The sequence below is a fragment of the Homo sapiens genome, chromosome 11 (assembly GCF_000001405.40).
Source record: "Homo sapiens chromosome 11, GRCh38.p14 Primary Assembly".
Classification (NCBI taxonomy): Eukaryota; Metazoa; Chordata; class Mammalia; order Primates; family Hominidae; genus Homo; species Homo sapiens.
Window position 1 is genome coordinate 76,630,972 of NC_000011.10, and position 15,103 is coordinate 76,646,074.

Below are 15,103 nucleotides of genomic sequence, written 5' to 3' on the forward strand. Positions count from 1 at the left end.
TTAATAATAATTTTTTATTATCATAGTATATAGTGGTGTTTAAATTTCCCCAATAAACCAGGCGTGGTGGCTCACACTTGTAAGCGTGATTACTCCAGATTACTCCAAATCATGCTTCTAAGTATAATTACTCCCAGAACTTTGGCAGGCTGAGGCAGGAGGATCACTTGAGCCCTGGAGTTCAAGGCCAGCTGTCTTCCAAATAAAAAAATTCCCCATTGTCTAACAAAGATCTTTTACAGATCTTTTAAAGTTGATTTGTTCAAAATCAGGATCTACACAAGTTCCATACATTGCATTTGATCGTTTTCTCTTAAATCTCTTTCAATCTTTTCTACTTCCTCTCTCTTTTTTGGGGGGGGAGGGGGTGGTTTTTTTTTTTATTTTGAATCAGGGTCTAACTCACTCTGTCACCCACGTTGGTATGCAGTGGCATGATCTTGGCTCACTGTAGCCTCAACCTCCTGGGCTCAAGTGATCCTCCCACCTCAGCCTCCTGAGTAGCTGGGACCACAGGCATGCGCTACCATGCCTGGCTAATTTTTTGTAGTTTTTGTAGAGACAGGGTTTCGCCATGTTGCCCAGGCCGGTCTCAAACTCCTAAGCTCAAGTGATCCTCCCACCTCAGCCTCCCAAAGTGCTGGGATTACAGGTGTGAGCAACTGAGTCTGGTCTCTCCTTATTTTTTATTTTTATTTTGTCTTGAGACACTGTCTCACTCTGTTCCCCATGCTGGAGTGCAGTGGTGTGATCTCGGCTCACTGCAACCTCCACCTTCCAGGCTCAAGTGATTCAGCCACCTCAGGCTCCCAAGTATTAATAGCTGTGACTACAGGCATGTGCCACCACACTGGCTAATTTTTGTATTTTTTTTTTTTTCATGGAAGATGGGGTTTTGCCATGTTGCCCAGGCTGGTCTCAAACTCCTGGGCTCAAATGATCTTCCCACCTCAGCCTCCCAAAATGCTGGGATTTCCTGTTTTAAAAAAATATATATATATATATTTGTTGACTAAACAAAGTTGTTGATCCCATGTAGTTTTCCACCTTCTGGCTGCATTCCCCCATAGTGTTATTTAACACATTCCTCAGTTTCCTGCCTTTCCCGTAAATTGGTAGTTAGATCTAAACACTTGATTAGACTCAATGTGCTAGGAAGAATGCTTCATAGGTGGCGTGTCTACTTCCCTCAGAAGGAACATCATATTTATAATGTTTGGTTGTCTCTCCTTTTGTGCCTTTAGAAGGCTGTGATGATCATTGCCTATATCTATTATTTCATTAGAGAATTACAAAACAATGATGTTTTAATTTTATCATTCTTTCTTCATTTATTAGCTGGAACACTTCTATGGAGAAAAACTTCTCTCCTGATGCTTTGGTTCCCCTAAGGTACAATTGGTTTAGGAAGGACAGAACTAATGCTGGCTGATTTCCCCTTTACTTATCAGTTTTCAGAATAATGAGCTGATTCCCTCACAGTCTCTAGAGGTGATCAGCAAAGTTTTTTTTTGTTGGTTTTGTTTTTTTTTTTAAATTATTATCTAATATTTTTAAATGCATTTGAAAATTTTCAATTTATTGCAGTTATTAACCTTGTTGTCACTCAAATTGTCCCACCTTTGGCCCATAGAGATCTCTTGGTCATCTGAGTCCTTTTGGCCTGACCCTAGTGGTGTTTAATACTGTCCTGACTTTCTGGTATAACGAGATGTCCAGGTTTGTCTTGTGTTTTTTCCGCCTGGACCTGGAATTAGATATTTCTTCAAGAAGCCCTGGTTCTTTTTTACAAGAAGTGGCATTTAGAAACCACAAATCTGGGTGTGAGGTGTGAGATATGCTGAGTTGGTCTTTGCTTTTAGATCTTCTCAAGGTGCAGAGCTAGGAAATTTTTTTCTTAAGAAGATATATATCAAGGGTTCATATTGATAGTTTGAATAAAACCTTCAGCTATAGGGCTTTTACATAAGTATTTTGATTTTGTATCTGAATCTCTTTTGTCTAATGCTGAACATCTTGCTTCCTAACAACATTGACATTATTACTGATTCATTTCTCCTACTTTCTTTCTATATATACATATTATAAAAATATCAGAATAATAACACCAATAGTGGTATTAATAATATGATTACTGAAAATACTTTATAATTTGTCTGTGATTCTTTTATCCTTAGAATATATAGCCTACTAGTCAAGCTATAGTCAAGTTACCAGGTTTCTAAATCACTTAAAATAATTCAGCTTTGCTTGGTGAAGAAAACAATTCAATACACAGATTTATTGATTTCATTTTGCTCTTTATTTGGGGTGATTGCTTTTGACTTTTATTTAGATTTAATTTTGTTTTATTTTTATGGAAAGAATTTATGTACTTCTAAAGCTAACCTATATAATAAGGTATATTCAGAGAAGCCTGGCTTCTACTCCATTCCCTTACCACACTTCCTCCCCACTCCAGCAGACAACAATTGTTTAATTTTATTTTTTATCTTTTAACTGATACTTAATTTTAAAAACACGCATGTATTTGTGTATTCCCTCCTTTTTGTTGGATAAAACGATAACGTACTATATGCATTTTAGTCCACTCTGCTTTTCAGTTAACGTTGTACCCAGCCCGGAGGTCACACTGTCATGACACGCATGCAGAGATCTTCTTCATCCGCCCCCCCCTTTTTTTTTTTTTTTTCTTTGACGGAGTCTTGCTCTGTTGCCAGCCTGGAGTGCAGGGGCGTGATCTCCACTCACTGCAACCTCCGCCTCCTGGGTTCAAGCAATTCTCCTGCCTCAGCCTCCCAAGTAGCTGGGATTACAGGCATGCGCCACCACGCCTGGCTAATTTTTTTTGTATTTTTATTAGAGACGGGGTTTTACCATATTGGCCAGGCTGGTCTCCAACCCATGATCTTGTGATCCACTCACCTCGGCCTCCTAAAGTGCTGGGATTACAGGCATGAGCCACTGCGCCTGGCCTCCTTCCTTTTTCTAGCTACAGAGTTGTCTATTGTGTGGTCAAGCTGCCCCTACTGATGGACATTTGAGTGGTTTCTAGTTTTTTTACAATTACAAATGATGCTGCCATGAATAGCTTTATGAATCTGTCTTCTCTTATTTTTGCCAAGAGGGGATTGCCAGGGTAAAGGGTAAATTCAAATGTAATTTTGCGGCAAAAGTTCCCCTCCAGGTAGGGCTTGCACCATTTTGTTTTCCCACCAGACAATGTACGAGAGGGGCCTCTTTTCCCACAGTCTCGCCCACAGAGCACGTTCTCAAACTTTTGAGTTTTTGCCAATCTAATAGACTAGAAATGATATCTTGGCTTAGCTTTAATTGGCATTTCTCTGATTATGAAGAAGGTTAGACATTTTTCCATATGTTTACATTCTGGTTCATGTTTGGGTCCCTAGTGCCCAGCACAGGGCCTGGCACAGGTGAGTCCCTTCTCGAATGAAGGAAAGGAGGAACAGATGAACAGACAAGGAGGAAATGAACTTTGGAAGAGGGTCGCTGACTTGCCCAAGGTTGTGTCCAGTTATCACCGGAGTTGGGAATAGAATTAATCTCTTCTTTTTCTCTATGTCTAATTCATTTTTCCTGATTATAAAAATAAATAGAAGTTCATACTATTAAATAGAAAGTTTGGAAAGCACAGGAAAGTATAAACATATGAAACATTTTAATCTTTCTACCCTAACTCAATCATTTTCTAGCATTTTTGGATATTTCCTCCCAGATTTTATGCATTTTTTCCGTTACGATCACACTACATACATGCGTTTGTATTCTGTCCTTTTTCACTTAACACTTCTCCACATTAATAACAATTGTTTGCAAACATAATTTTAATGGCTGTACAATTTTTCACTATCTGAATATACATGAATGTATTTACCCTTGCTGTTACTGCTAGACTTCTAGATTGTTTCCAGATTTTTGCTATTATAAATAAATTCTGCCATGTTCTTCTTTGTCCACCTTCTGGATATTTGTCTCTCAGGATTAATTCCTGGAAGTGGAGCTCCTGGAATTTCAGCTTTGAGCTCCAAGTTTGGGGTTTTTCTTGGCCATGCTTGGAGGGGATTGTTTGTAGGAAGCTCTGGCCCTGTGACTTCACAGAGCCCCGGGCCTGGCCTGCTTCTCCACATCTGTGATGTTCGGTAGAGACTCACTTGCACCCACGTTGAATCAGCAGACGGGCAGAGCAGGGAGCACCAGAGCCTGCTGAGGATGAGGAGTCAGAATCTCTTACCTTTTGCCCCCTGGCTCATTCCTAAGGCTAAGGACAGATAACCTGCAACCAACAAGGGGAAACTGCACACGGACAAGGTCAAACCTGGTGGAGGGCGCAGGGCAGGTAGGAATGCTGAGCAGACGTGGTCTGTGCTTTGTAAGCATTCATGGTGCAGTGGAGCAGATGCTGGGGTCAGACCTTCCCATCCTGCAAAGGGTTCCATAATGGACCTATACACTGTGCCATCCACAGAAGGAGGGTTCTGGGAAAGCTGCCTGGAGGAGGCAACAACTGAGTTTAGTAGAAGGAATATAGGTCTTATGTGACAGATGAGGCTGGGGAGTGGTCAGTCATGAGGGGCCCTTTCTGCCAGCCTAAGGATCCTGAATCTTACAGACAATGAAGCAGGGGGATGACAGAGTCAGGTCTGCATTAAGAACAATCCTGGCAGCTGTTTGGGAGGCACAATTGCAGATGTGAACTGGAACTTAGAAAGAGGCCACTACCAGTCTAGAGACCATGACACCTGAATCAGAGCAGTGGCCATAGAGACAGAAAAGATGGATGAAGACAAGAAACATCGGGGATAAAGTTATGCCAATTTCTGGCCTTCCTGCAGTTGATGGGGAACAATCCTGGACCAGGACTCAAGATACCTGGGTTCCAGTCCCAGCTCTGTGTGACCTGGGACAGGTCTCTTGCCTGTATCTGGGTCTGTTTCCACTTTTGTCAGCTCCAAGAGTTCCTATGTTTTGAAAACGCTGTGATCCTAAGGCTGTAAAGGGGCTGAGGTCCTTGGAGGAAAGAGGAGGGGAAATAACTGGAGGCTGAGCAGAGGGAACAGCCAGGGCTGGGGTCTTGGAGTCTGGGCTCTCTATCTCCCCGACCCATCAATCTTGCAGCATTAATGCCAGTGGGATGGCCTGGGTCCAAGCCAGAGGCCAGCTTTAAGGAGGAAGGAATTGTCTCCGCCCCAAGGAACAGAGAAGAAAAAATTCAGAGCTTCCAAAAGCCACCAACAAGTCATCAGCTCTGGCAGTGCAGCCAGGGGTTTTGAATCTGCCCTGGTGTGAGCCAGTGGGAGGCAGGGCGGGCCCATTTCCCCCCTCTCTGTACATCAGAGACTGCAAGATGATGATGAAGGGCATGAGGATGACTTTGGCTACAAGTAAGGGTAGACCCTACTGCCAACGGCCTAAATAAAGCAAAGAGGCATATCCTGTCACACCACTGCAAGTCCAGAGCAGCTCCTGGTATCATCAAGAATACAGGCTTTACCATGCTCTCTGGTCCTTGACTGGTTCCCCTTCCAGCCTCATGAGGATGGCTGTCATCCTCCCCGGGGCTGAGGGTGGCTGCCAGTGTCAATGGGGAATCCATGCTTGCATGGCAATGTCCAGTGCGAGACAGCAGGAGAGGACTTCTCTTCCAATGCAGACCGTAAGTTTTTTCCTTAGGTCTGAATGGGATGACTTGGGTCATGTTTCCAATCAATGACAGTCTTTCCAGGAATGGCATATCCTGGTTGACTTAGATTAATCGGACTCTAGTGCTAAGCCTGGGGGCAGGTAGAATAGCCAACAGAATTGGGGTTCTGCGAGGAAGGAGGAGAGGACCAGATGCTGGGTCAGCAGCTGATGTGTCCACACAATGATGAGCGTTAGTTGCCCCTCTGCTCATGCGACCCCTGCACAACCTGGGGTCAGCAGGACAGGCATCATCTCCAGATCACCAGTGAGGACTCAGGCACAGAGAAATGGAGTGACTTGCTTGGCTCATAGAGTGGGTAAGTGGCACAGCATGAATTAAGAGAAATAAATGCCAACCAAGTAGACCTCAAGCTGCCAGCATAAGCCTCTGACCCCATTCCTCCTGTTGCTGTAGGGGGCTGCTGCCTCCTCTGAGCTGCCACAGCCCCTGCCCACTAGGCCCCAAGGCTGGGGTCGTGGGTTTGAATCCTGGCTTTGAGCTTCTGTGTCCTCCTCTATGACATGGGACCATGAGCCTCACTGCCGATGCCTCTTGGTGTAATCGTTGGGGGAGATTACATGAAATGAGATGATGCTTTGCTAATGGTGAAGTGCTATGGAACCACCAGGCTTCCCTACTCCTGGTGGAAAAGGGCTCATTCCATGGGCCTCATCTGTACCGAGCACTGGCAGAACACAGGAAACAGGTAGCCAGAAGGACCAATGAGATGGCCAGATATGGAATCCTTCAACTGCAAAGAGCTGATAAGGAGACAAGTCCAGAGAGGGGTGGTGGCCTGCCCAAGGTCGCACAGGATTAGAACCCAGCCCCTTGCTCTCCAGCCCTGTCCTGCACCAGGCCTCCAGGGTCGAGTGAGGACCATCCCCTGGACTGGGTGGGGATGTGCAGCTGTAACACACTCCGTGCCTGCCGTCACGTCCCCCAGGTTCTCGGGGGCCATTCTTCAGGGGTTCACTGAGGCGAGGCCACACTTCCCCTCGGGCGGCTTCCTGTTTTGGCCAAACAATGACTCTTGCAGGGACCCGGTGCCAGCTGGCTGCAGCTGTTGCCAAGGCCTTGACTTCTTGCATACAGAGAGGTGAGAGGTCCCGGCCCCCGGGGTTGTGCTTCTGGCCTCCCTAGGCCACAACCCCACACTCAGATGTGGCCTTTGGGTCCCACTGGATTCAGTCAATCCTTCGGGTACTGATCACACACACAAGCACCTTCTGTTTGCCAGGCTGTGTCAGGGCACCCAGAACACAGAGATACATGAGATGAGAGTTAAGTGAGTCTACAAACTTGTATCCAGTACTCACAAGGAGCAGGGCATTGTACTAGATTCAGCTGATACAGATACGAACAAGATACACCCTCTAATCTCACCGGCTGATTCATTTGTTTATCCTCCCATTACCCTGTAAAAGCTTGAAGTTCATCACCAGTCATTTACATGTGCATATGAATTAGTGCAGGCAGCTCTGTTCTGAAGGAAAGTCTCAGGGCATGTGGAGAAAGGATACTAAGGGTGTAGGTAAAAATAATGGAGATGAAGTTTTTTATGATGACTTTTTTAACAGGTGAGGAAATCAAGATTCAGATATGGAAAGAGACTAACTTAAGGTAAAGTGTGGAGTCAGGACCTTAATCCAGGTCTTCAGACTCCAGCCTTGAACATCAGAGAGCTTCAAAAAGCAGCCTACCCGATTGAAAGCCCCGCAGGGTCAGAGCTGCTGCATGAGGGGCTGTGTGTGCATGAGGGTGCTTGCTGCTGTCAAATATGAAGGGGGACTAGATGAAGGGAGGGAGGTCTGGAGTGCCCGCTATGTGTTGGACACATAGGCCTTGTCATCATTCCCTCTCTGCTGATGAGACATGCAGCTCCACAGAAGAGCCTTCTGGAGCCACTGCTGAGCAGTGCAGTGTGGGGAGACTCATCCAGGTTCCATGCTGTAAACGTTGTTCTTTCACCCCCAGCCCATCCTGCTCTGTGCCTGGTTGGCCAACTTCTGTGCATGCATCACTTTTCCGTTAGGTTTGGCCAGCAGATGCCTTGGTGGTCTGGCCCAGGCTTGTCTGCCCCCACTTCAAGCTGGGGGCAAGGAGAGTTCTGGAGACCAGAGAGGAGAAGAAGCAGAGGTCCTCCTGTGCATCCAGGAATGGGCCAGGAGGGAGGGAGAGGACCGAGGTCACTAGGTGGACACCTCCCAAGTCTGCTCCAAGCCTGATCTCCCCGTTGAGCACCACACACAGACCTCCAGTGTGCTCCAGAGACCTTCGTAACACGGTCCCTTCCTCCCCTACTCCTTGCCCCATGCCCTATCCATCAGGGAAGGGCCCCAGATGCCTAGAGTCAGCCCTGACAGTCTCCCTCCCCTGCCTCCAGCCCCTGAGCTTATGAAGCTCTTGCTGAGGCTCAGTGGTCCCATTCTCTAAGCTACGCTGGACTCTAGCCTTCTCTTCAGGCTATAGCTGCCTCCTTGGTCTGGGTCTTATCTACGCTTAGTTACAACAATGGCCTCCTCACCAGTCTCCCTGACCCCATTCTGGCTCCCTTTAATCCATCTTCCACTGGGCAGTCAGTGTGTCTTCCAGAAATACAAATCTAAGTCTCTGTTTTCTGTGCTTAAGTGGAGCCCAAACTGCGTGATATGCCCCAGGTCTTCCTCTCCAGCTCTACCCCTGAAGCAAAATCCTTGTGATGTTCCGTAATCCATCAACCTTTGCTGGCTTCTTGCTCCCTGCTTTAGCCAATTTCAGAATGGCCCCCTTGGAAAGGGGAAATTTCCCACTGGCACCATCACTGTCTTGGTTTGAGTTTCTTCAAAAGCCAAGTGCGAGACAAAGATTTGGGGCAACTAGTTACTGGGGAGGTGATCCCAGGAGGCAGGAGTAAGGGAGTGGGGAGAACAGGACAGGAAGGAAGCAAAGCCATTGCCAGGGTGTGTTTTATCAGTCTCCACAGTGGGCGACAGGGCTGTGTTCCACCAGGACCCCTGAAGCCTACAGAATGCCTTCCAGAATTGCTCATCTGCAGGACTGGAAACTGATGATTGATCTGCTGACTCCAGCCCCCACTGGGTAAGGTCCCTGAGACTTCTGGGCTGTAATGCCTGCCCAAGCAAGGTCAGATGGTGCCAAAGAGCCTGCAGCAGATGCAGAAAGTCACAGCTTGGGTAGGATGCTGGCCATGTGAGGTGAGCCTGGGCTGGCAAGGAAATGTCCACCCCAGCTGCAGCTGATGTGGCATGGGCACTGGAGGCGGCTGCACAGAAACATTCCTTGGTCAGTCAACACACATGGATTGCTGGATCTCAGCTGTTCATGAGGTGCCTGGGTTGCTAAAGAAAAGGCTACAGGCTGGGCACAGTGGCTGACGCCTATAATCCCAGCACTTTGGGAGGCTGAGACGGGCAGATTGCTTGAGGCCAGGAGTTCGAGAGCAGCCTGGCCAACGTGGCAAAATCCCATCTCTACTAAAATTACAAAAATTAGCCGCACATGGTGATGCATGCCTGTAATCCGAGTTACCTCGGGAGGCTGAGGCACGAGAATTGCTTGAACCCAGGAGGTGGAGGTTGCAGTGAGCTGAGATGGCACTGCTGTACTCCAGCCTGGGTAACAGAGTAAGACTGTCTCACAAAAAAAAAAAAAAAAAAAAAAGAGGAAAAAAAAAAAGAAGAAGAAGAGGCTATGCACAAAGTGCCCCTGCGGGACTATGGAATGAACATGGGCTTTGCCATCAGACTTCCTGGGTTCAGACCCACTTCTGCCGGTACCTTCTGTGGGACCTTGAGCAGGTCACATCACCCTTGAGGCACCTTGAGCCACGGTGTGTAAATAGGAACTGTAAAATAGAAACAATAATTTCCACCACATAAGGTGTTTAAGAGAATCAAATGTACTTGCAAAAATGAATGCATATGGCAGTGTGATGCTGAATGCAATTAGTTGTGTCCTCATGAAGCCGGCTGCCCAGGCTTTGCCTCACTCTACTCTCTCGTCTCCTCTTTGCCTTGCTGCACTGCTTTATCTTGTGTTGCCTAGCAGCCCTGGCCTCCTGTGGGCAGTGCTGGTTTTGCCCTGCCCAGCTTTGGGGCTAGCACATCAGCAATCCCCTCCCTGACTCTCCTATCCAGAATAGAAATCGATTTTGTGGAAACACAGAATAAAGAGCAGGCATGGCCTACCACATAGCAGTGACGTGTGTTTTTAAATCCTTATGAACTGTTTCTGTCTCCCCTAGATCCCTCTTCTGACACAGCTGCCTTTCTCACAGAGGAAAATGTAGCTTGAACCCAACACCCCATTTTATTCTTCCACACTCATCCCTGCCGTTTGGGTTCTGGGCTGTCCCCATCTGTTATGGGTTAACTTTTGTCCCCCCCAAAAACTCATATGTTGAAGTCCTAACCCTCAGTACCTCAGAATGTGACCTTGTTCGGAAACAGGGTTACTGCAGATGCTATGAGGCTACACTGAAGTAGGGTGGGAATTAATTCCAATATGACTAGTGTCCTTGTAAAAAGGGGACATGTGGGCACACAGACATATATACAGGGAGAACGCCATGTGAAGACTGAAGTTATGCTGCCACAGGTCCAGGAGCCACCAGAACTCGAAGAGAGGCCTAGACAGATCCCTCCCCAGAGCCTTCAGAGGGAGCACGGCCCTGCTGATGTCTTGATCTTGAACTTCCAGCCTTCAGAACTGCGAGGCAATAGATTTCTTTTTTTTTGAGACAGAGTATCACTCTGTCGCCCAGGCTGGAGTGCAGTAGTGCGATCTCGACTCACTGCAACCTCCGCCTCCCAGATTCAAGTGATTATACTGCCTCAGCCTCCCAAGTAGCTGGGACTACAGGCATCTGCTACCACACATGGCTAGTTTTGTATTTTTAGTAGAGACGGGGGTTCTACCACATTGGCCAGGCTGGTCTTGAACTCCTGACCTCAGGTGATCCACTCACCTTAGCCTCTTAAAGTGCTGGGATTATGAGCCACAGCGCTCAGCCAAGACAATAGATTTCTATGGTTTAAGACAACAAGTTTCACAGTAGCCCTAGCAAACTAATACATTACCTAAAAAGGCAACTTATTTTTCTGCTACCTATATAGTTTTCCTGTCCTTTTCTTCCCATCCAGCCTTTCTGGCTCTGTTGATGTGCTTCTATTTCTCCACTCCTTGATGGACTGAATCCTTGGAAGCAGAGCCTGTGTCATCCTCATTGTTGTATCCTCAGGGCCTGGCAGAGCCTGGCCACAGTTCCCATTCAGGAAAGGTTTGCTAAAGCCTTCTTGAATGTAGTAGCTTTGATGCTTGCCCTTCAAGGATAGTCCAGAGCTGGGCAGGCTACACTATCAAGGGAAGGCATTGCCAGACATGAGCAAAGGCGCAGCGAGGGGCAGGAAGGGGCAGGCTGGGGAGATGGTGAGAAGCCCACAGTTGGCTGGGATGTAGATAATGGTAGTGGGGAGAGGTAGGGTGGAACCAGAAGGTGGGGAAATGTGACGTCAGGGTATTGGGGTTTGTGAATGCATTTAGTTGAGTAAGCAATGGAGCGCTGGGTGCCATGGAAAGGAGATAGAAAAATAGCAGGGCTCTGGGATAATTATTCAGCTACAGAATGGACCAAACACAGGGAGACCAGGGAGGTCTGGGCTGGGACCACAGTCCAAGCGAGAAATGATGAAGGCTTGAACCCTCATGGACACGAGGATGGAGACAAGATCAGAGACATTTAAGAGGAAGAAACACCAACCTGCTGACTGCCATAGAGGTGTTTTCCCCTCTGAGGTGCTGCCTCCAAGCTCCGCCTTCTCCTGCAGATGCCACGCTGAGAATTTCCATGATGTCTGTAGTGACATATAAATCACCCCACCCCCAGTCCCCTCTCTGAAGGCTGACAGTTCTGGTGAGAGAGCAAAGACGCGCGATCCCCACCCCAGGCTGCTCGGGTTTCTGGTTCACAATTCAAAATGTCAATTCATGGAAGGAGGTGATATTTCACCTTTTTTAATATCAATTTTTTTAATTATCAATCATGAGTAATATAAGTTAATAGTACAAAAAAATCTGAAAATACGGTGTCATTGAAATCTTACAGGTATAAGGTGAAAATTACAGTAAAAAATGACCCTGAATAATCCCTTAAGAAGAATGACCTGGGATACTAGAAATTCAGAAGACAAAGATTACATTATTTCATCTTCTTTACCTTTTGACCATGAGCATCAAAGTCTAGTTCAAAGTGGAATGGGAGGGCAGGGTTTGGAGGTGGGTGGTGGTGAATTAAATGCTTGCTGGGTATGGGTCCACTATACTGATAAACCAAAGAAAAGAGAAATCACCTGAAATCCTTCTCCCACTCTTATTTTTTGGAGAGTGTCCTCATTTCAGTCTTTTAATTTTTCCTAATGCATATTACAAGCTAGACTCAGTGGAGTAGAATCATGTAATAGTTTTATTTTTCTGACAACAGTACCTCGCAAGCCTGTTCCACTGGCTTTCCTTTCCCTCAACCTGGATGATGATATCTTGAGCAGATCTTATAGCTTTGGGGGCAGGGGACAATATCATGTTAGATATCAATGAAGAGCCTCATTCTCAGTTTTATTTTTATTTTAAGTTCCAGGGTACATGTGCAGGATGTGCAGGTTTGTTACATAGGTGAATGTGTGCTATGGTGGTGTGCTGCACCTATCAACCCATGACCTAGGGATTAATCTCAGCAAGCATTTGCTATTTTTCCTAATGCTCTCCCTCCCCCTACCCCTCCTCCACAGGCCCCAGTGTGTGTTTCCCTCCCTGTGTCCTTGTGTTCTCATTGCTCGGTTCCCACTTAAAAGTGAGAAAATGCAGAGTTTGGTTTTCTGTTCCTGCGTTAGTTTGCTGAGGATAATGCCTTCCAGCTCCACCCATGTCCCTGCAAAGGACATGATCTCTTTTTTTAAAAAATGGCTGCATAGTATTCCATGGTGCATATGTGCCACATTGTCTTTATCCAGTCTATCATTGACGGGCATTTGGGTTGATTCCATGTCTTTGCTATTGTGAATAGTGCTGCAATGAACATACATGTTAATGTATCTTTGTAATGGAATTATTTATATTCCTTTGGGTATATACCCAGTAATGAGATTTCTGAGTCAATGGTATTTCTGGTTCTAGATCTTTGAGGAATCACCACACCGTCTTCCACAGTGGCTGAATTAATTTACATTCCTACCAACAGTGTAAAAGCATTCCTATTCCTCCACAACCTTGCCAGAACCTGTTGTTTCTTGACTTTTTAAATAATTGCCATTCTGACTGGTGTGAGATGATATCTTGCTGTATCACCCAGGCTGGAGTGCAGTGGCACGATCTCTGCTCACTGCAACCTCTACCTCCCGGGCTCAAGCAATTCTCCTGTCTCAGCCTCCCAAGTAGCTGGAATTATAGGCACCCACCACCACACCCAGCTAATTTTTGTATTTTTAGTAGAGACGGGGTTTCACCATGTTGGACAGGCTGGTCTCAAACTCCTGACCTCAAATGATCCACCCGCCTTGTCCTCCCAAAGTGCTGGGATTGCAGGCGTGAGCCACCTTGCCTGGCCGTGAGATGGTATCTCATTGTGGTTTTCATTTGCATTTTTCTAACAATCAGTGACGTTGAGTTTTTTTCATATGTTTGTTGGCCGCATGAATATCTTCTTTTGAGAAGTGTCTGTTCATGTCCTTTGCCCACTTTTTAAGGGGAGTGTTTGTTTTTCTTCCCGTAAATTTGTTTAAGTTCCTTGTAGATTCAGTTATTTTTTTTTAAGTCTGCCAAATAAGGGTCTGGCATAAAGTGCCTTCTGATGTGGTTCCCCAAGAAAGACACTACCTCACTTCTGTGGTGTGATAAGTGTGATATAATAAGAAACATATATATTTGATCTCTGCCCCTAGTTCCTGAAACAGCTCCCCAAACTCTGGGAATCTCCCGAGTGATAAGAATGTCTTTTGTATGCCAATGAGATGACTGGTGGCTGGAAGCCCCTAGATAATTTCAGCATAGGGGCTGGTCACAGGAAAGATCCAGCCATGATTAGAGGGTTGGAACTTTCAGCCCCAGGCTGAAGGTTGAGTCGCTCACCAAAGGCCAGTGATGTAATCCATCATGCTTACCTAATGAAACCTCCGTGAAAATCCGAAAGGACTGGGTTTGGAGAGCTTCCAGATTACCGAACACCTGGAGGTGCTGGGAGGATAGTGTGCCTGGAGAGGGCATGGAAGCTCCCCCATACCTTGCCCTGTGTATATCTTCCATCTGGCTGCTCTTCTGTATCTTTTCTAATATCCTTTATAATAAATGGGTAAATGTAAGTAAAGTATTTCCCTGAGTTCCATGATCTGTTCCAGCAGATTAATTAAACCTAAGGAGGGCATCTTGGGAACCCTGATTTATAGCTGGCTGGTCAGAAGCATAGGTCACAACCTGGGGCTTGTGATCGGCATCTGAAGTGGGGTGGAGCACTGTGGATCTGACGCTATCTTCAGGTAGATATTGTCAGTATAGCATTGAATCATAGGATCCCCAGATGGTGCCCGCTGGAGAAAATTGGTGGTTGGTGGGAAGAAATCCTGCATGTTTTGGTGACCAGAAATGAAGCATTCTATGGTGAGTGTGAGAGTAGGAAAAATACTGGTTTTTCTTATCTCTTGCAAAATGGCATTCTCACCAAAAAGGCAGAATCTGACAGAGAAACTATCAGACAAAACCAAAATGAAAAACAGTCTATGAAATAATTGGCCCAGAGTCATAAAAAATGTCAGTGTCATAAGAGACAATAACATACCGAAGAACTGTGCTGGATAAAAGGAAACTAAAGAGACATGGCAGCCAAGTGAAATGCATGATCTTAGATCCAGTACTGGATCAGAGGTGAAGATTGCTACAAAGCCTGTTACCAGGGGCATTTTGTGAAATTTGGATCTAGCCTAAGGATTATATAATAGTATTATATTAATGTTAAATTTCCTGAATTTGATAACTATATTGTAGTTATGTAAGATAATATATTTTGTCTTAGAAAATACATGTTAAAATGTTTGGGGGTAATGATGTATGCAACTTACTCTAAAAAGGTTAAGAAAAAAATGTGTGTATAAAGAGAAAGTGACAAAGCAAAATGTTAACAATCACTAACAGCTGGTGAATGTGGATAAAGGGTATACATGGGTGTTCTTTGTACTATTCTTGCAATTATTCTGCAAGCTTAAAGGACTTTTATTGAAAATATATAAAGAGCTCTTAAAACTCAACAATAAGAAAATAATCCATTTTATAATGGGCAGAAGACTTGAACAGACACCCCACCAAAGAAGATATGCAGATGACACATAAGCATATAAAAAGTTGCTCAACGCCATA

General features: G+C 45.7%; 1 annotated feature.

The window, feature by feature from the left end:
- Positions 6,575–6,894: an enhancer, noted in NCBI's record as "active region_5293". NCBI's record gives its function as "activates an Ori minimal core promoter by ATAC-STARR-seq in GM12878 lymphoblastoid cells {active_cell/tissue: GM12878}" and the evidence as "EXISTENCE:reporter gene assay evidence [ECO:0000049][PMID:35858748]".